The 22,800-nt window shown below is 40.0% G+C and overlaps 1 protein-coding gene across 10 annotated transcripts in view, besides 1 other annotated feature; it reads left to right on the top strand.

Moving 5' to 3' along the window:
* The window catches only part of SYT9 (synaptotagmin 9), a 230,266-nt gene that overhangs the window by 12,147 nt on the left and 195,319 nt on the right, over positions 1-22,800 (top strand). For 8 of the 10 annotated variants that reach the window (XM_011519901.3, NM_175733.4, XM_011519900.3 and 5 more), the window contains exon 1: positions 980-1,407. The exons of the other annotated variants lie outside the window; for them this stretch is intronic. In XM_011519901.3, the coding sequence (XP_011518203.1) occupies positions 1,263-1,407 (145 nt within the window). In that variant the 5' untranslated portion in view covers positions 980-1,262. Of the gene's footprint in view, positions 1-979; positions 1,408-22,800 lie in introns of those variants that run through there. 10 annotated transcript variants of the gene reach the window in all.
* Positions 873-1,012: a silencer, noted in NCBI's record as "silent region_3108". NCBI's record gives its function as "represses an Ori minimal core promoter by ATAC-STARR-seq in GM12878 lymphoblastoid cells {active_cell/tissue: GM12878}" and the evidence as "EXISTENCE:reporter gene assay evidence [ECO:0000049][PMID:35858748]".

The raw sequence follows: 22,800 nt of genomic DNA on the forward strand, positions 1-22,800 counted from the left end.
AAGAGAGAAAATCAAAGCTACCTTCATCATGTATGAATTTGAGCAAGTAACACCTTTGTGAGTCCCCAGGCCCCAGTTTCTCATTGGTAAAATGAGGATAACAATTACACAGACCTTGTTGGGCTATGTACAGAATTAAATGAGATTATGTACCTAAAAGGCTTGTGGCACAGTGACACACACACACACACACACACACACACACACACCCAGAGTACTTCGTGGTTATTTCTAGGCTTTACTGCTTGAAAGGCTGAAAAGATGGGTGGATGAGAGGTGCCCTGAGGTTCCTTCCAACTCTCCAAGATTCTGTGATACTCCTCCTTGGGTGCTGAAGACACTTTGGCAATGTTTGGATTTCCAAACGGTTGCTTAGAAAACTAAGGGACCCACGAAGCCCAGGTAAGCCTCAGGGTCTTTCCCAGGAATCGTTTATTTATTTGATCTTAGTTCTGACCTAGAGCCTCCACCTTCTCCATCCAAATCACCACAGTGGTCGAAAAGGGCCTGTGCTTGGGAAATCCTTCCTTTGTTGGCGAATCTTGGACCCAAACCCTGCATTTGGGCATCTGACACCCATAGGCCCATGGTTCAAACCCAGGCGGCTCTTTCCAAGTTCGAAGCAGGGACTCGGTTCTGCGCATCTGGCGGGTGTGCCCAGATTGTAACCTTCGCACTAGGCATCCAAGAACGTGCTTTGGACACACTCGGCGGTGGGAGCGGGTGCTTGGTTTGCATCAGGGATGAGGGGTGGAGTAGCGAAAGCGCCCGGAGCGCGCACTCACTCACACTCCCCAAGCCAGGGCGCGGCCGCTCTGGGCGCGAGGTCCCAAGCCAAGTCTCGCGCTCGGCCAGGAGCCGGGGAGTACCCCAGGTCCCCGGTCTGGGGCCGCCGCTATCCTACCCTGCGGCGCGCACTCCTGACCTGGCCCCGCCCCCCGGCGGCCGCGAGTAGCGGGCGGAGCGCAAGCAGAGAGGCGCTCTGGGCTGTGCGGCACCGCCTCTCCTCGGTGTCTGGGGAGGGACGGAGGGACCGGGCGGGAGAGAGAGAAAGCCTGACCGACCGGCTGGCGAAGAGCTGCATGCAACCGGTGGGAGGCCGGGCCGGCTGGGTCTGGGGCTCGGGCTCAGGCTCGCACCGTTTCTCGGCAGGTCCCTGGCGGTGAGCGCGGACGGCCCGGAGGCGGCGGCTCTGAGCTGGCAGGCGGAGGGCTGTCTCCTGCGCCCGCCTGCCCGGCGCGGTCCGAGGATGCGGGGGGGCGATGCCCGGGGCCAGGGACGCGCTCTGTCACCAGGCGCTGCAGCTGCTGGCCGAGCTCTGTGCCCGTGGGGCCCTGGAGCACGACAGCTGCCAGGATTTCATTTACCACCTGCGGGACCGTGCCAGACCCCGGCTCCGCGACCCAGGTGAGTGCCGCCACCGCCGCCTGGAGGGACCTAAGGGCCCTGGGCTGGGACTTGGGGCCGCACCGGGGCCTGAGGCAGAACAGCGACGCGGACTGGGAGAGGGCGGGGGGCGGCCACCGAGCCAGGAGAGTGATCAAGAACCAGCGCACTGTGGCCTGATGCTGTAACCAGGCGGGGACCCGGGCGGTGGCTACTGCACGGAGGCCGACTCCGGGTCGGCTAGGGCAGGGTTGGAGGGACCACGCCCGCCACCTGCGCTCCCATCGCCAAGGCTCCTGGGGGCGGCTCCCTAGCTCCGAGCTACGCTCTCCACTTCCCGGGCTATCTGCACTCAGAGCGAGGGGAGGCCGCGGCGGCCTCGGAGCCGTGGGAAGGGGGACGAGGCCGAAGGAAACTCTGGGAAGTTGGGAGTTGGGGACGGCCCCGGGTTGGGGCCGAATCCCACCGGGTGCTGCTCATCCTTTCTCCCAAGCGTCTAGTTCCTTTCCTTGGTATGGGGTGAGAAGGGCGGGACGCGATCCGGCGTTGGGCCGGGGACAGGGTGCTTCTGGCCTTGGGCAGACGGGCCTGAACCCGTTCCCGGCGGGTCGCACGGCATGGAGGTGGCCTGGGCCTGGGCGCTAGGCTCGACCAGCGACTACCGCCGGCCACGATGGGGTTCGTAGACTCGTCGGTCCTGGCTTGTGCACCTGTAGTTACTCCTAGTGAAAGTTGCAAAGCTCTTAACTTTGGAAAGTTCATTTATTTTGGCATTTGACCAATTAAGGTTGGAGGAGGGAGTTTTAGTGGAGCCATTTGCTTTTCCTGAGGTCCCTGGGTCTCCCAGGTCGTCTCATCCGTTACTGGCTACTGGAAAATGCATTCCTTCCAATGTTTGCTTGAGATGTTTCTCACCTGGAGAAATAGTTTTCTCGAATATTCTCCCAACCTAAGTACTTACCAAAACAGCATATTGTGGTTGGATTGTTAAAAATGGGATGAGAAAATGGCCTTTCTCTTGATATTGCTATGTATAAATATTGGAAATGAGCTATTGCCTTGCAAATTATGATGTACGAATTGAAAACAATTTATTATATAAAAATCCATTTATCCAAAAGATAAATTAAAGAATTATTTGATTTATAAAGAGTGTCACACTGAGCCAGACTTAAATAGCATATCCTTGATATATTCAAGATGGTCGTGTGGGGTGAAGTCATCTGCTAAAATTTTAAAGTTTATATCAGATTTTCCCTACCAGAGGCTTTTTTTTCCTATTGAAAAAGAAAAAAATATTGTTTTCCATTGCCGGTGGTTATATTAACTAAGTTTATTGAATGATCATTGATATATTACTTCAAAGTGGATAATTGGGTAGAGAAATACTGATCCCAGTGGTTTCCAGGGAGGTTTAATGTCCAGCCTATGTGCATCTCATTGCTGGATGTGATGTGCTGAATAAACCACAGTCCCTTATCTCACAAGCTGGAGTCCCAGGAAGATGTCTTAAGTCGGGGAAGTTCGTCCTTAAGCAGCAGAAGCAAGACAATTATTTTGCATGCTTTGCCCAAAGCAAGTATTAGTATTGAAACATCTCACTTCCTTGCCTGTGACCAGACCACGAGTTCTCCTTGTTATCCCACATAAGCAGTTGTCTTTGGCTTTACAAGAGAAGATGGATGAGGCCTATCTCTGAATCACATCTTTTTGGCCAGTTTTCTGCTTCTACTCCTTTTAATCCGGGAGCTGGATCCTGTGTTCTCAGATTCTCTTCAGCCCCTACACCAGGCAACCCCTGAGAAAGAGTCACTAAGTAGGCTTCTTACAAGAGGAAATCTGATTCCTTGGCGGAGGAATAGCTAGAGATAGGAGTCGACCTTGCTGCTCTGAGTTCCTGATAGCAGTGCTCTGCTTTCTTAAACTAGGACACAAGGGTTTTGAAGTAGCCCCATGCCCCTGTGGCTCTTTGGTTTTTGTTGGAAAGTAGCCAGCTCATGAGGACAGGGGTGGGGGTTTTCGAGTGCAAGGTGAGAGGAAATGAGGCCAAAGATTACATCCAAAGTGCACCCTCTCCTTCAGGACACTTCTCCCTTCATTTCCAAATCTCCCTTCATTTCCCTCCTTCCTTGCCTTGCCGACATTAATTCTTACATCAGATGCATTTGTCTTCATCCCTCTGAAGCAAGAGTGTCTTTAATCTCGGAACCCTAAAAGCTGAGTAGTAGAAAAGCTGCACCACACAACGCCGTGTGAATAATGTCCCTGCTGTTGATAGTGTGAACCAGAACAACCATGCACAGCAGCCCTGAGACATGGGTTCCTAGAGAGAGTCATCTCGGTAAATGGATGACTTCTTTTTCTGGAAAGGAATCCACCTGAATGCCATGTCCCAGCTTTCTCTGTTATTGTCCATTCACGGCCACCCTGTGATAGCTAGGTTTTCTCAAGCTGAACTAAGGACTTTGGTTATAAAAGGAGAAAAAAGATATAATTTCCTGTGGACAGCAAAGTGACCCTGCATCTAGGAAATTTACTCATTTTTTCAGAGGTGTGGAAAGACTAGGGCACAGACCAGCGGGCCTGAGCCATCAGAAAGGTTCTTTTTTGTCCAGGTAGTTATAGTGCCCTGTTGGGGGAGTACCGCACCCAGATTTCCCTGACTTGGTGTTCACAGAGGACTTGATGCAATTGTGGTTTAAAAAAATAAGCCTAAGTCACAGTTGGAACTGAAGTGCCTCACCCAGTCTGTCATCTGTACCAACTTGTGGAAAGGAAAGTGCTGAGTGTGAGCACTTTTGTCCATAGAAAGCAATTAGAATGCTCTGTTGGTTGCCTTTATGGTGTTTTATATGTTAATGATGTGGGACATAAACTTGCAGGCCTCAGAGACTAGCCTTTAAGGCAGAGGGAACAGCAAGCGCAAAGGCCCTGAAGTGGTAGCATTATTGATATGATTCTAGAAATGGTGACTTCAGAGGTGGCTGGAGAGGTGTGAAACAGATGGAGAGTGATAAGACGTGTATGGTCAAGAGTTAGAGAGGGTGGATCATGCAGAGTCTTGTAAACCATTATAAAGACTTTGGTTTTTACTCTGAATGAGATAGGAAGCCATTAGAAGGTGCTGAGCAGAGAAGTGACAACACTTTGACTGCTATGTTGAAGAGCAAAGGTGAAGTCAGAGAAACCACTTAGGAAGCTATTTCAGAAATCCAGACAGAGGTGATAGTGACTTCAACAGGGATAGTGGTAATGGAGGTGATGAGAAGTAATTGGATTATGAATGCAATTTGCAGGTACAGCCGCAAGTATTTATTGAAGGAAGAGATGTGAAAGGTGAGAGAAGGGCAATTAAGGATGCTTCAAAGGCTTTTTGACCTAAAAAATTCCATGTACAAGTAGAAGTCTTCAGGAAGAAGGTAGGGGTGAGGAGGGAAATCATGAGGTTTATTTTTTATTTTATTTTAACTTTTTGTAACACATTAAGTGTGTGATGCCTCTTTAGATAGCCAAGCTGTTTTACAGTTGAACAGTGACCTGAGGTATGACTATCCTCTTTAATGTCAATTGCTCTATGCTCGTATTTTTTAACTGGAGACTTCGCTGTCAAGAAGATTAATTGGTTATAGAACAGTATGTATTGTTAGAAGGTTTTCCTTGTAGGGAATTAAAAGGTCTCTTAAATTTCTACCCATGGATCTTGATTATACTTTTTTTGGTCAAAAAGCATTAGTCTTATCTCTCTTCTCCATCATACACCTTTGGCTATTAGGAGGTAAACTAGCCTAACTTATCTAGATCCACTCTTTCCAAGGAACAGAAAGGAGGATTGGATCATGTAATGACTAGGTCTTAAACATGTTTTTATCATTTTCTTTTTAAGTCTTTTCTTCTGTAGGGTGCCAACCATGTCTGTGCCAAGCACTTTATGTAGGTCATTTCACTAGTCCTCACAAGTCTTTTAAGCACTTATCTGTGTTCCAGCAGCAGCAGCAGCTGCTGGGAGCTTGTTAGAATTGGAGATCTCAGTTATGTCCCAGACCCACTGAATATGAATCTGTATATTAACAGGATCCTCAGGTGAGAGTTGTAGGCACATTAAAGTTCAAGAACCATGGCTAAAAGTGATTGATATATATGAGTAAACTGAAGTCCAGAGAAGTAAACTAGCCCAGGGCCATGGAGTCCATTTAAAAGAAGAATTGGGTCTAAGTGAAAGTAGCTTCTTAGGTAGTCACATCACATGTACTGAAAACTGAGGAGTTATTGTCAATGAAAATTTTCTAGGTGTTTTTCATAAGAGCCACCCTTAGACCTACTTTCTCTCTTCTGTACTTGTATGATGGATTTAATCCCTAAGTGTAGGTCACATTCTATGTAGTTGTAAAGATTCAGCTTAGTATTTTTGATTATGAATTCTGTTATCCAGGATACTGGTTTTCCATTCATGTTCCAACTCCATATTCTGGAGATTTTTCTGCATGTTCTCTGTGTCTGTACCCAATGTTTAGAAAAGGTTCAGCAGGTCAGAGTATGAAGCAGAGCCTTAAGACTCATGATTAGTGATTCTTCTCTCCATGTAAATATTACTCTATTCAAGAAAAGCTTTTTCTAGGTCATGGTTTTCAACTTTGGCTGCACATTAGGAATACTTAGGGAGCTGGAACAAACAAACAAAGAAAAAACAAACAACAGCAACAACAAAAACTACCAATGACTGGGCTGCACCCTAGACCAGTTTTAAATCACAGTCTCTGGGAAATGGGCCTGGTATCAGTATTTTTAAAGTTCATCTATTGATTCTAATGTGCAGCCAAGTAGAGAACAACCTTTGAGACCATTGGGCAAAGAATGCATCCGCCTAACCCTTCTCAGCTCAGCTCACATTTGTTTCTTGCAAAATTAGGAAAGATAGTATCAAAAACTAGGAACCTTGACTGTTACCCTGTACAGCTAGTGCCCATATCAACTGATTCTTAACTTTCTTTTCCCAACGTTATCCTACATTTTTCTTTTAAGGGCTCATTGAACATATCATAAGGCTCTATTATGTCCACCAATCTGAGAGGGGAAAAAACAAACAAATCAAGAAAAATCTTGTCTAAATAGTGTGTCATTAAAAGGTCAGAATATAGAACCTTCACAAATGTCACCCTATGTTAAATTATAATGAAGTCACTTATTAGAAAATGTACATGTAAAATAATAATTAAATATAGTTTCTATGAAAAAAATCTCCAAAATAATCATCAAGATTAAATATTAGCCTTGATTCAAATTTTTCTAAGGTAGTCAAAAGAGAATCAGTCTTGAAACACTGGATGTTTATGAATAGACCTTGGTGTGATTATGCACAATGGGATTAATTTTTTTAAATTAATGTTAATTGCAATCAGGAAAAAGAGTCTTCTAAGGAATGAGTGGCATATTGGATGCACAATATGTGAAGATCTAATTTGCATTTACTTCGGTGACATTTCAGGGCTCCTTCATAAATATTTTATTTAAACAAGTGTGTTTTCATCTCTGCGGGACTCCTCTACATGGACCAGTGAGTGGTTTAGTCATGAGGTAATTATCAAGAGGGGAAAACAAAAGCAAATTGTAGTAAAGGCATCACAGGCAGCCCTATGGCCAGCTGCCTCTTTCAAAATAAACAATCAAAAGCACAAACTTTTTGATGTGGGATAAACTCTCAAGGAAAAATTAAACTGACACCTAAAGGAAATCATCCTCAAATTTTCTATTATGTATAGAGCATAGATGTTGCTTTCACTGAAGTAGCATTGAGGCACTTTTATGTTTGTGCTGCAAGTGCAATTTCCCATATGGTTGGCTTAAAAACATTCATAATCTCTTCCTAACAGGTTGACTTGAGGGAACTAACAAGTTCACACTCCAAAGTGTATAGAGAAAGTGGAGGAGCTTAGTGAGAGGCATAAATGGGGGAGCAATCTCACTTTTAAAAGGACAAGTATGGAGTATGTATTTCTATTTTCTGAATGAAGTTTGAATAAAATCACCATTTGTGGAGAAGTTTTCAGTTTTCACTGCAATCTTGGAGCAATAAATGTGCATCACGACTTCCTTTTCTTTCAAATGTTTATTTGGTGGGCTCTAGGAAGGGCTTTAGACCACATCAAATCCTGAGGACCAGGCTTTGCAGATCTCTTTGAAATCTTCATATGGCCTTGCACATGTATTTTATCACACAAAAACTTTAAATCAACATTGATAGAACTGCACTTGAAAGAAAAAAAAATCTTCTAGGACATCAAGATGACAAAGTGGAATAAGCAAGGACTTTGGAGTTAGAATCTGACTGCACTTACTACCTTAGTGACCTTGAGTAAAATATTTAACTCTTCATTTTATTCATCTATAAAATGGGAGTGGAAGATTGCTGTAACATTGTGCCCAGAGTAAATGCTCAAATAAATGATCAATAAATTGATGTTGTTGGTAGTATCACCTGCCCATGTTTCCTTTCAGCCGTGGTCCACAAACATGTATATGTTTTACCATTTGTAATTATTTGTAGGCTAAATTTACTTTCTACTTTTTTGTAAACTTAGCATTTTATTACCTCTTATTAGCTGTGTGTTCCTGGACAAGTTATTTAACCTCTGTGTCCTCATTTTCTCATCAGTAAAATGTATTACTAGTATCTGGGTTACTAGTTACCCAGATAAAATACAGGCTGCCAGTTCAATTTGAATTTCAGATAAACGACAGGGAATATTGCATGGCACATAATTATACAAAACAATCATCTGTTGTTTATCTGAAATTGAAGTAGAACTGGGCATCCTATATTTTTATTTGTGATGCTGACAACCCTATACTAGTACCTATCTCGCAATGCATGCGAAATACCATAGTACCTGGTATATGCTCATAGTAATTACACGTAGTAAATGCTCAATAAATACTAGCCATTATTTCTATTATTATAATTTTCCCATTGTTAACACTTATTAGTACGTAATTATTATTGTTGTGATGACTATGTATATTCCAAGAATGGGTATACCTTTTTTATTTAACCATTCTTTTGAGGCTATTCTAGCTTGTAATTTTTTTTTAGTGTGAATAATGTCTTGTATTTATAGTCCCCTGTTTCCTTTTGGGAAAATTTTTTCATGATAAATTATAAACAGTGAGCCCTAATTGCTTTCTGGTAGATCTATGTTAGTTAGTCCTGCTACATGTCAACAGTAAATCCGCTAGCATTAGGTGTATAATGTGAACAAAAGGTTGCTAATTTAACATGGTTTAAACAGCTGCTTAGTTGTTTCAATTTGTGTTTTTTTTGTTGGTAAGACTGAATATTTTTTGTTTTGAACCTTCTTATATTTACTCTTAAGTGAATTTTTTGTGTTCTCTACCACATTCTCTATCATGTACCAGTTTATTTTTTGAGAATCTTAATGTTTTTTTCTACCAATTTCCATTAATTAGAATGTAAATATTCTGTCAAATTAGCTCACAGAAGGAATATTGTATAGTGAATGAGCTCAGGTTGTCTGACTATAATCAACCCATTATATTAAAGTGTCTTTTGAAATTTCAGGGGTGGTTCAATAAATAGGGATTCGTTGTAACACTCTTTTCCAATGCAAAATGCTGCATTTATTTATATGAAATATGAAAAAGTTGTTATAATTTGAATCTCTTTTTCTTTATGTTTTCTTTCCCACTCCAACCTACCCCACCCTACCCTTGTGCAGCTGTTACTTAACCACGTTGAATTGATCAATCTTTTCTAGTTATAATTAAGTTAAATTCCAAAAACATTTATTGAGGGCCCCTTAAGTGCTATGTACAAGGTTGGGCATCTGTCATTCAAAGATACATTAGACATGCTTACTGCCTCTATGGAATTGACATAAAACAATAATGGCAATTAATAAAATCAAGAAGGGAGATATCTACTGGATACAGTACAGAAAAAAGAGGAGAGAAGTAATTAGCTGACTTGAGTGGATCTGCAGAGGCTTCCTACAGAAGTCTATTCTTGGGCAGAAGAGTTTGTCTGGAACTAGTTGGTGGGAAGAGCATTCTAGGAATTTACAAAGGTCCTAACACAGAAGAGGATGGATCCTGGGTAACAGTAAGTTGAGTGTGTGTTGGCAATGTTGAGAGATGGATCTGCTCTAGTAAACAATGGTCAAATCAGATCACGAAAGCCCCTGTATGCCATTGCCAAAAACCCACTGAGGACTAACTGGAGCACTCTGACACAGAAATCTTGAAAGAAGTACAATTTATATCATAAGCCCAAAGCAAAGCACACCAGGAGATTTCAGTTCCATGAATGCAGCTTCTGAAGTCTTCCTGGTTCCTTATGGAAAATATACTCAGGTTACTGGCAAATATGTTCTTTCTGTCCAAGGTAAGGTCCTAACAGATTGGAATCAATGAATGGAAGTTTACCCATTTTAGATCCCCAACATATCACCCTGAAACCCAACTGTAATTACCTTGAATAGTTGTAAATACTGCCTTTAGCAAGTTTAGTCATCTGGTTCAAACATCTGGATTCCAGATATAATTCCTGACTATGCCAACAGTGACATCTTGCTTCCTTGCCTGGTTATTTAGTAATGAAAAAGCAGTGTGTTCAGCTGCATTGTAACTATCCAGTCTGTGGATGTGCACAGTCTGTTTTCTCTGAAGTTATAGGGCCCAAGAGGGAATACGCATGGCAGGCCTGCCTAGTGCCCACCAAGCCACGCTGTAGAGATAGTTCTTTATTGTGTGTACAGGGTCTGCCAATTAACAGGCATAATTTTAAAAAATAATTGAATTGAATGCCCTTAAGTGGGTCACAGGCTGTCCATTTCTAATATCTGCCTCCTCGTCCCCACCACATACATGTACACTTTGCTTATCACATTTTTGGGACATGCCTGCCTATTGAAGACATCTTAGTTTGTATCAGCTGTAGCACTGCAGAACCATTAAAAGAGTTTACGCTGAAAATTCAGGTGAGTTTTATCCCTTAATTAGGTATTCTGGAGACAGGATAAACATTGATTGGAGAGGTTATAGTAGGGGATGCCAGTTATTTGCTCACCATATATTTATTGAGCATCTACTAAGTACCAGGCTCTATCCTAGGTATGTACAAATGTAGATACCTAGACACAGTATTGTACATACAGTAGGGAATGAAACAGAAAATTAAAAGTTTGCCCTCATGAAACTTACATTTTGGGAAAATGATAATAGGTACATAAATTATATTGTATGTTAGATAGTAGTAAGTGCTAAGGGAAAAAACAAGGCATGGAAAGAGATCAAGACATAAAGACTAAACTGGCACCACTGAGAAGTTGACAAATGAGTAAAGGTCAGAAGGAAATGTGGGAGCAAGATACACACGTAGCAGGGGGAAGAGCGTTCCAGGCAGGAGAGCGGCGGGTACAAAGGTCTCAAGGCAGGAGCATGCTTGACGTGTTCAGATATTAGCCAAGGGTTAGTATGACTGTAGTGAGGTTGGCAAAAAGAGAGTAGTAGTAGATGAGGTCAGAGAGGTGATGGCAGACTGATTGTAGGCCTCTATAAGCCATTTTAAAAAAGTGACTTTTACTTGCAGTAAGATAGGAAGCCATTAGCAAGTTTTAACAGAAGAGAGATAACATCTGACTTAGGAAGAGAAAGGATCACTCTGACCAGCACATAGAAAACAGACTATAGGAGGGGAAGGTTGAAGTTAGGGAGAGGAGTTATAAAGCTGTTGTAATCATGTAGGTGAAAGATGGTGGTGGCTTGGACCAGAGTGATAGCAGTGGAGATAGTAGGAGGTGGTCAGATTCTGGGTAGCTGGAAGGTGGAGATGACAACATTTACTAATAGATGGATATTGAGTGTGAAAGACAGAGAGGAGTCAAGACTAAGACTGTGGCCTGAGCAGCTAGGAGAATAGAGTTGTAGGAGAAGTAATTTTGAGGGGAATGACCAGCAGCTCAGTTCTTGATGTGGGATATTGGAAATGCTTATTAGTGAGCCCAGTGGGGATACAGACTAGCCGTCTGGATATATGAGCCTGGAGTTTGGGAAAGATGGCTAGGCTGAAGGTATAAACATGGGAGTCATCAGCATGTATGTGATATGGGTCTGGCTGAAATTATCTAGGAAGGCACAGTGAATGGGAGAGTGAAGGGGACCCGCACTAAGTTCTGGAACTGTCCAACGGTAAGAGGCTAGAGAGAACTTGAGGAACTACAAAGGAAGATTAATGAAGAGAGACTAGAAATGAAAGAGAAAATCCAAGCAAGAGTGTTGACCTGGAACCCAGGATGAAGAAGAAGGTGATCAAATAAGAAGGAATAAGCAGCTGTGTCAAGTGCTACTGTTAGGTCAAGCAGAATGAAGACTGGGCACTCACCATTGCAGGTAGTGATGCAGGGGTCATTGGAAGTAATGTTGACAAGCATTTTTGATAGAGAGGTGGGAACAAGAGCCTGATTGGCATGGCTGTAAAAGAGATTGAAGGGAGAGGAATTGGGGCAGTAAAGACAGAATAGTCTTTTAAGTTTTTCTGCTGACAAGAGCAAATAAATGGCATAGTAGTTGCTAGTGAGGGAAGTGAGATCAAGGGTTGTATTTATTTATTTATTCGTAAGTTAGGAGACTTAACAGCACCAAGGTGAAGGGAATGACTAGTACAGAACAAAAAATCATGATATAGGATAAAGAGGGGAGGATTGCTAGAATGATATCCTTGGTTGAGAAGTTGGGTACATTTCCCGAAAGTTCAGTGTAGGCATTTAGGCACCAAAGGCACATAGATGATATTTAAAACCAAAAAATCTAGATGAGCTTACTGTCTTAGTCCATTTGCACTGCCCTAGCAAAACTACCATAAGCTGGGTAGCTTATGAACAACAGACATTTATTTCTCACAGTTCTGGAGGCTAGAAAGTCCAAGAGCAAGGAGCTGGCAGATGCTGTGTCAGGTGAGGGCGTGTTCCTCATAGACAGCACCTTCTCTCTGTGTCCTCACATGGTGGAAGGGGTTTCTTTCATAAGGGCATTAATCCCATTCATGGGGGCTCTGCTCTCATAGTCTAGTCACTTCCCCAAAGGCCCCAACTCTTAGCATTATCATACTAGGGATTAGGTTTCAACATACAAATTTGGGGAGGACACAAACATTCAGATCTTCACACTTACCAAGGGGTGAATAAAAATAGAAAAGAAGTCAAACAACTGGTTAGAAGTCAGAGAAATGTGCAGGAACCAATAAGGAGACTGAGAGGGACCAGAAAGTAACGTGGAGAAAAATCAAGAACATGATGGCTTGGAAATTAAGAAAGTATTCCTAGGTGGAAGGAAGGATCCCCTGAGTTAAATGCCCCTGATAGGTCAAGTAAGATGACAACCAAGAACTGACCATTGCATTTAATAACATGAAGGCTAATTGGTGACCTTGAACTGAATGATTTTGGGAGTGGTGCCTCAGTGGAACTGGTGAAAGTCTAACTAGAGTCTTTCTAAAAGAGAATGAGAGGAGAGAAATTGAGAGAAAAGAGTATAAGCCATTTTTTGGAATTATTTTGTGAAGGGAGAGGAGAGGAGAAACTGATTCAAAGGATGGCTTTTAAAGGAAAGACAAAATAACTGTATGTTTGTATGCTGGAGAGAGGGAAAAATGATGTAGAGGATTAAACTGCTGGAGTGATGTGCTGAGTAGGTTGAGTAGGTGGGTTTTTCAACAACAGTTTGTTTATTGTCATGAAGTCAGGGCAGAATATATGGGCACAGGTGGGCAGATGTGGTTTGGGAATCTTGCAGAAGTTTGCCTTCTGATTGCTCTTGTATTCTTGGTGAAATAGGAAGCAGCAAGGTTATAAGCTGAGAGTGAGGATGGTTAGGAAGTAATGGCAATTTGAAAATAAGAGAGTTATAAATGTTTAGGAGAGTGGAAGAGCAAATGGATTAGGGAAGGAAGTGTAATTGCCAGGCAATACTAAGCACCTGCTTGAAGTTGGCGATCATGAATTTAAAGTAATTTCCATCAGCATAGGTGTGTGTGTTTCTTCCATGTTCAGCTCTTTTTTTTGCAGGCATGGAAGAGAGGGAAGTTTGTGTTTAAGCCGGGGTTGTGTGTATGAGAACAAGGAAAGAGTAGCAAAAGAGTTGAGGGTATGTAGAATAGATTGGAATGATTGATTCTGAAATTTCATTGGAGTAAGGAGAGAAAAGCGGATATGTAAAAGGATTAGGGATAGTGAAGACGTGGTAGGATTAATGGATTGTAGGTCCTGGAGGGGTGGAATGCTTGTTGAGAATGCAGTGAGGAGAAGGGGGCCAGAGAATGAGATGTTTGAAATCAAGATTCTGGAGGAGCTGCAACTGTTGACATGACCACGTCCAGGACATGATCATGAGAGGCATGATGGGGAGAGGGGGACAAATGATTGAAGACAGGAGCTCAAAGAACTACAGGCCCAGGGTTTTGGAAGTGTTATCGACATGGATATTGGCTTTGCTGAGAATTATGACAAAAGTAGTTTTGGAGAGAGTGACAGTAAGCGAGCAACTGGGCTCTCCCAGGAATGTGGGGGAAGCGACCTGAGGAATGATAGATGTCTGCAACAAGGATGGGCAGTTGTGGTGTAGTGGTGTGTTCAGACAATATGAGATTTAAAGCTGGGTGTTTTTTAAAGAAAACAGCAGCAGGCAGTAAACTATTAATTTTTACTTAAGCAGAAGTGTTGAAGGAATATTTTAAGTCAGTAGAGATGCCTTAAGAGATATTTAAGAGATAAAATAATTAGTACAATGATATGAAATAGAGAGAGATCCTGATTCCCAATTTTTTTTGCATATGTGCCTGGAAAGATGTGCTTATAACTTATTAGGTTTACCACAGGAAGTCAAGCACATTTTGTGGGAAAATAATGAGATTGATTTTAAACACATTAAGTTTGGGATGTGTATGACATCTCATGCAGATGTCCAGGGCAGTTGACTGGTGGAAAACTGGGAAGAAGTTACTGGAAATAAGGAGGGTGAAAAGCGATTGAATGTCAAGGCCCCTTGCAACTCAAAGATTTTTGTAAAGTGGTTCCCAGTTCCAGGTATGCATCAAAATCAGTTAAGGAACTTTTGAAGACACAACTGCCCTGTCCCAAGATTGACTAAGTCAGCCTTCAGGGGTGACACCTAAAATACCTCTACACAGCTAGGGTTGCAAATGACATGCACTTACGGCCTTCGTGGTTTACAATTACTTTTTACAGCCCCTTGGTCAAAATAAATGCTCAAACTGTCTATGTAAAACTTTTATAAAATATTAGGCAAGGAAACCCAAACTCGAAAATGTGTTTACTATCTATCATGGATTCTTTTTTTTTTTTTTTGTAGCCACAGTGAATTATCTCAAATTATTTGTAAGTACAGCTACTATTGGCACAATTACTAATAAATTCTGTAGAAAATTTAGCTGTAGGATGTAACTGTAGTGTCCTAGCCCTAAGTAAAATCATGGTCTTCTTTATCGCTAGGCAAGTAATATGATTATCATTTGTTCTTATTTTAGGATAACCATACGGTACATAAACCCTGTGAAAACTCTAACTAGGCCATGAGGTTAGAGAATAACATGGTTGCTTGATTCCTGTAGGCTATAAATCATCCTAGCCAATATGCTCACTTCTTGTCAGAAAAACCTGTGAAACAGAGAAAGAAGCTGGACAAGAATGAGGAGGCCACATTAGAATCACTTTTAACTTGGGATTCAGAGGATCCCAAGTTAAACATATTTCCATTCTTATTTTTTTAGATAATATGGATGTCAATTGTTGGCATAGCTGAGCTAGCTCTGAAGGCTTCCCAAATTATTTCAGAGGGAATGAGAAAACAGTGCTGCTTGCTCTTCTTTAATCTGTTCCACCGTGACTGCTACTTTAGATTTAATATAACTGTAATATCCCGAATTTATAGGTCATCCTTCTTCTGGGGCTTTTAAAGTACTTTGTGTGTATTACTTTAATTTTGAGGGAACTCAGATTCATCATCTTATGGAATCTATTTCAGAGGGAATCTACAAAGAGAACTAGAAAGTCCCCCAAAGTGTTTCTTTTTTTTCTTCCAGATGCCTTTGGTAGGAACATTCATTGATTCTAACTCCACACTGCTTTAGAGGCCATTTATGTGTGGATTACTGTAGGCTGCTCTGGGGGAAAATCTAATCCCCACAGGTTCAGTTAGAGAGGATCCACTCTGCACGCTGATAAAGATTAAAACTGCAGCTCTTTTCGATTGCATTGTCTTCTTTTTTTATCTTTTAATTTTTGTATTATCTTATGCTTCAGTAATTCAATCACATCTGCCTTCCCAGTGCCTCAGTATGTGGAAACTGGGAAGTTAAATTGGGCAGAGTAACAAAACAGGAGCTCTACTTCATATGCCTTTGTTGTAAAATGTGATGTCTTAGGGTTTGCAGTGGTGTCCCATAGTGCTACAGACAATCATCAGATTTGACCCAGGGAAACTCCTGGAGAAAAGTGAGTAGTAAATAGTGGCCTTAATGATGCAATCAGAACATGGGGGATTGTCAGAAGAGGATCAGAGTTAGCTTTGTAGTACTTGATTCCTTAAATGTTTAGGAAGTAGTTTCATTAAATATAGTAAAACATTTGTCTACTGATTTATATAGTTTTTAATCTTCTCTTTTTCCAAAACCTCATGCTAATTAAATTAACATTCCTATAAAAAACATACTGAATACAATATATATCATTAAGTGAGACTTATTTTAGGTTCATAAATAGTACAATAAACTGTAAAGACTTAGAAGTCATAAACTTTTACTTTTCATTAATGAAGCAATATGTGAATATATAAAACCAAGTTTGTTATAACTTTATAAATTAGAAAAATTAGAATTATGTTGGAGACTACAATACTTCACTGATAGAATACATCAACTAGACTAAATACATAGAGGATAGAAGTTATAGAGTTAAAATAATAAAGAAAAATCATGTTCACGAAACATTTAAAAAATTAATCAGCACATGATTAATTTTTTAGACATGACAATAAAAAGGAAAAGTTAAATCCAACAGGTAAAAATCGCATGGGCCACATTTACTGACCATAAAATAATCAGTGAGAGATTAAGAAGTAACAATAACAATGCCAAAACTCTAAACACTTAAAAATTGAACTCTTTCAGAGATCTCTTGAGTTAAAAAAAATCAGAAATGGACACTGAAATTATAGACATTGAGAATACAATGGAGTATAACCAAAGCTATATCTAGATGACAATTTCTAATTCTCAGTTGTTAATAGCAAATAAATACAGCAATAGAAAAAAAAATGCATTGAAGTTAAGAGCCTAAAAATAGAAAGGTAAAGCAAATCAAAAGAGAAAAAAAAATAAGAGCAAAGCATCAATAAAACCAAAAGAAGAAATTACTGAATTAGAAAGTGAAAAATCCCAAAGAAGCAGTGTTAATAAATAAAACCCAGGTGTGTCTTTCTGAAATAAAAAATAAATAAATATTGTGCTATTCTGATCAAGGAAAAAATGAGAAAACACAAATATAAAGCAAAAAGAATAAGAAAGAGGATTTAATAACAGATACAGAAGACAATAGAAAGCACAAGAAAATGGCATACATGCCAATGATGTAGAAATACAAATTGAGTGGAAGTCATAAACATCTCAGAGTGAGTATAAAAATATTTAGAAGAAATTGAAAGGTAGTCAAAGAACTTTCTGTGTAAAAAGGTATAGGCCTAAATATTTTTATAGGTTAAGTTTAACAAAATATTAAGTACTACATCAGCCCTCTTATTTGTCGGAACCACAAATAGTCATTACAAATTTGTTTTAAGTTGTCATTGCAACAAAAGTTTTCAGTGAGCACAAGAATTAAAGGTCATCAGCACTTCCATTAACAATTACTGTTAATACTTTTACCAGAAGTGGAATTGCTAGGCTTATGCACGTTAAATATTTTGATATAAAATTATCAAATTGTCCTCTAGAAAGGTTTAACAATTCATATACTGTAAAAACTATACTGTGGCATAGAAAAAATATGGAAGGCATCCTAATTTACTTTGTGAGGCTAGTATCACACTAATATCAAATCTGACAAAGACAATAGTAAAAAAATCTTGATACCAATCTCAGTTAAGCATATAAATATATTGTAAATAATAGAAAACAAATACAGCTTTGTATTAAAAATACTGATGTACTGTAACCTGGTAGGGGTTTAAGACTACAGGAATGGTAAAGCACTAGGAAGCCTAGTATTACAGTAATAGGTTTTTTGGTTGTTGTTTTATATATATAATTATTTTAACTTTTGACGATGTATGCAACATAAGTCACAAACTTGACACATTTTTCTCTATCTCCAGTCATTCTCTGGTTTTAAAAATATAACTTTATCGAGACGTGTTTTACATATTGTAGAGTTCACTCTGAAAGTGTACAATGGAATTATTTTTTAGTAAATGTATGAAGTTGTGCAAGCATCACTATAAATCAGTTTTAGAACCTTTTCAACATTCCAGGAAGTTTCCTCATATCCATTCTCTGTTAATCCCTGCCTCAGGAGACTACTAATCTACTTTCTGTCTCTATTAATGTGTCTGTTCTAGACATTTCATATAAATGGAATCATACAATATGTGATGTCTTCTGTGACTGGGTTCCTTCACTTAGCATAATGTTTTTGAGGCCTGGCTATATCATAGCACGTGTCATTAGTTCTTTCCTTTTTATTACTGATTAGTATTCCATTAGATGGATGTATTTCATTTTATTTATTCATTTACCAGCTGATGGACATTTGGCTTTTTTCCAATTTTGTGCTATTGTGACATGGCAATATAGTATCTGGTAAAGACAGCATTTCAAATCAGTTGGGGGGGTGGGAAATGGGCTATTCAGCAAATGGGGTTGAGATAATTGAGTAACTATTTGGGAAAAAACATTATATGCCTGCTCCTGAAATTTTTCATGTGGTTTAAATTTTACAAATATAACTGCTAAAATTCCAAAGGAAATTATGTGATAATCATTTTATCATCAGAATACTGTATAGATGACAGCAAAACAATAACAGCAGGTTAGACACAGAGGTAAATTTTTAAAATTCTTTCATGTAAAGAGACCTAGGAGTAGTCTGCCCAGGTCTGAGAGTCTCTAGGTAGTCTTAAGATTCAGGTTCTTTCTGTCTTTCTATGTTTGCCTTCTTTAGTGCATTACTTCAAATTCAAAGTCACATCATGGGCTAATATGGCTGCTGGAATTCCAGCACTTACATTTACATCCCTGAGAGAGACAAAAACCTCACTTTCGACCTGAGTCTACTCTTCTAGAGTAACCTTTCTCGAAGTCCCACTCTATACTTGTGCTTTCATCTCATTGATCAGAATTTAGTCATATTGCCATCCCTAGCTACAAGAAGGTTGAGAAATGTAGTCTTTTAGCTTGATAAATTGTCACTTCAAATGCAATTTAAGTTGTTATTTTGGAAAAGGGGAAAAACAGATATGGGGTGGCAACTACCAGTGTCTGTGATCTTTGTAGTAGGTGAAGCCTTCCTTAGCGTGACCCTAAAGCCAAAAACCATAAAAGACAAGGTTGACAGATTCTGAGAAGCACAACAGCAGGAACATTTTTATTTTGCAAAGTTCATTATCAGCAAGACAAACCAAAAATGGGACAAAATAATAACAATGAATGATAGAGAATTAACATTCTTAAAGTGTACTGCTGAAATACATTAATTAGTAAGACATTTGACTGTCTGTGCCTTTTGGAGAGAGTGTATCAATTCTTTGGTAACTCCTTAAATGTACAATAATACCATATTGACAATGTTTATTCTTATTATATAAATATATATTTTAAACCATGTTGACCTTTTAGCAAGAAGGTACATTTTTTTGTATGGGGCATTATTATTTTAATTCTCTCCCCTCAAGGGCACATTTTAGGCTCATCTGTTAAATGCAGCTCATAAACGCTGTTATAGGCTGTTTGATTTAGGACAGATTCAGCTAGATTACCTGAATACTCAATTAACTGCCACAGTGAGAATCGTTTGCTTTCAGATCGATAAGAAGATCAAATCAGTAGCCATTCTCAGTTCAGTGCTTCATCAGGAAGTGAATTAAAGCAAACCCATTAGTGGTCATTTTTCTAAATGCTAATCAGTGAATTTCAAATTCTAGAAAAAAAATTGCATGTTTTTAGTGGTTATTATAGATGAGTATCTTGAACTGAGTTCAGGACTTCAGGACATTGAAAGGGGGCCTGGTTTCTAGCCATATTACTTAGACAACAATAATTCTTCACAGCTTTCTGTTAATATCTTCTGATTTAACAGGCAAGTTGGAGCCAAGTGGCCTTTGGCTATTTGGTATCCTTGGTAACCACTGTTAGATGATGAATTGAATTAGTTAAAATTAATTTCTTGTGAAAAGCTGCTTCCATGAGAGGATACTGACTTTGATGTTTAGATGCACAAGACACAGACACACACACACACACACACACACACACACACACACACACATAATGTGGAGAGAGTGTCATCAGGTGTGGAGAGTTTTTGCAGGTAACTGCAAAGCCTAATAAATGTAAAAGTGAGAAAGACGAAGGAAGACTGCAAAGGGCTCTGCCTCTAAGAACTGTGCTTCTGCTTGGAGAGGGAAGACTTATATAAATAAAGGAATCTGAAGCATAATAGTCACTATTATTTGGCTGGTGAAGTAGCCTTTCTTTTCTCACATCTGCGAATGTTAACTGTCATGACAAAGCTATTTTATTGTTATAGAAGTTTGGGAAAAGATGGAGAACACATTTTTTCAATATAAAATAATATAATATATATTTTGGCTCCAAGCCCACTTTTGATGTCAATTTAGGTAGCATTTTTCTTTCATCCTGATAGGTGCCTAACCTGAGGACCATATCTGCTACAAACTCTGCACTCCCAGAAGTTAACATTTTTAGGGTTATTGCTAGAACATGCACAGCCCAGTGCTGGACTGTGTACAATGGATTGCTATTTGCTTCAAAAGCAACACTCCTATATCCTGTTGGGTCTGTAGCAAGAGCAATCCATTGTACCAAGATGTGTCCCAGGTCCCTGGCCCAGGCCCGCCAGTCATGCATTTCCCTGGAGGGGCAAGGGAGAAATGGATGCCCCTGATTTCAGTCCTACATAGAATTTTAACTACTGCTGACTTCAGAATATTCTGCTTGTTTTTTTGTTTTGTTTTGTTTTGTTTTTTGAGATGGAGTCTTGCTCTGTCACCCAGGTTGGAGTGCAGTGGCACTATCTCCGCTCACTGCAAGCTCCACCTCCTGGGTTCATGCCATTCTCCTGCCTCAGCCTCCCAAGTAGCTGGGACTACAGGCACGTGCCACCATACCTGACTAATTTTTTGTATTTTTAGTAGAGGTGGGGTTTCGCCGTGTTAGCCAGGAGGGTCTCAATCTCCTGACCTCATGATCTGCCCGCCTCGGCCTCCCAAAGTGCTGGGATTATAGGCATGAGCCACCGCACCTGGCCTGTGCTTGGTCTTGGATGAACTATAAGGTATAGATATTTAGAGAAAAAATGCAGAAGCTGAGCTGTAAGAAGGTAAATCAGAGCTTCATGTATAAATTGGACTCTTAGAGTCTTTTACCATTGAATCTGCTTTTGTTCTACATTTAAATACTTCCTAAATAAACAAGAGCAGCACATATCCTGGGCAGTCCATGTAAACTGAATTCAAAGACTGCCTCACCACTTAATAGTTGTATAATCTGGGGAGAATTACCTAACTTCTTGGTGTCTTAATTTTCTTATCTGCAAAATGAGGATAATAATGCTTATAGGGGAACTGAGGGCGTGAGTAAGGTCATGACTTTGGGACACAGCATGCCGTTTAGAGATCAATTAGTGTTAGTTCTATTATTAATCCCCTCAGTGGAAGCCTTTTTAATGTTTCACAAAAATCGGCATAACTGACTTCTGTCCCATTCTTTATTTTTGCTTTCTTTTACTTCCTCCATTAATCTCTTTTCTTTTCCTCCACCCACCTTCTAGTGCCCTTATCCATTATTGTTTTCTCTCCTCTTTTTTCATCTTATCCCCTCTTACTTCATTTTATCCTCCAGACTTTTTATTGGTGTTTTTTTTTCCTTCTGCATACCTTAAGTGACAATGTAATGCAATCTAGCTATTCACTCATCACGTTTAACAGGAACTTACCATGGACTGGTCACTGTCCTTGGTGCTGGGGTTGTGAAAAAGAAAGACATGATCCTTGTCCTCAAGGAGATTACCTTTTCGTGGAGGATACAGACAAGTAAACAGGCAATTGAAACTCAGTGCAATAAGGGAAAGTGTGGTTTGATCTGGGAGCACATAGGAGGGGCACCTATCCCAAACTTGGAGGAAGTGGTGTCAAGAAAGGCTTCTCCAGAGAAGAAATAAATAAGCTCTGAAGTGTCATGGGAATGAGTGTTCCAGTAAAGCATTTGGAGGAAGAGTTTCTAGTAAACAACATGTGCAAAGGTTTAAATGCTTGAAGTGGCATGTGACCTTAGGGACCCTCAATGAGTTAGGATTGGTGGAGTTGAATTTGGAAGTTAGAGTGGGGGGTTGTTGATGTAATGACAGTTAAAGTCAGAGAGGTAAATAAGGGTCTTGTGGGTCATGTTAAGAATTTACATTTTATCCTAATCTTAATAGTTATCTATCTTATGATAGAATCTATAGAACATGAAATGCAGTAGGAGAGTGGTATAAAGGAAATCTAAGGTTTCTGATTTAGGCAGCTGGGTCATATAAAATGCAGAAGTAAGAGCAGGTAGAGGGAATGAGAAAGAGAGACTGAATTGGGTTTTAGAAATGTGTATTTAAGGTATGTAGTACCTGTAGTTGTAAATATGGGCCTGAAATGAAAAAAAGAGTTTCAAATCTTATTTTGAAATTTGATAGTGATTGCATTCATTATTCTATACTGAGGTTTTTTTCTTTTGTTAGTGTTTTTGTTTTTTGTTTGTTTGTTTTTTGACTGGTTCTTCTGAATGTCCTTACATTTTGATGGGCATAGTTAAGGAATTATGGCCCAACTATATGTAGCCAAGAGAGCAAAGTTTAAGAAGAACATAGTTAAAGTGCGAGAGAGAACCCAGTATTTATTTCTTCTGAAGGCAATTAGGAAAAAATCAGGAGTGTTTACCCTCTGATATCACAAGAGTTGCTTAAAAGAACTTGAAGATTGCTGCTAAGTGAGTCCCATGGCCAGGACATGGCCTAATGGTAGTCTGAGGGAAGTGTATGAATGAGGTTTTGGGGTGAGTGATAAGTAAGAGCTTGTCCTACATAAACTCAATCTCCAGTATTAGAGAGGTCTCCAAAGCACCTA

This window comes from Homo sapiens, chromosome 11 (genome assembly GCF_000001405.40).
Source record: "Homo sapiens chromosome 11, GRCh38.p14 Primary Assembly".
NCBI lineage: Eukaryota > Metazoa > Chordata > Mammalia > Primates > Hominidae > Homo > Homo sapiens.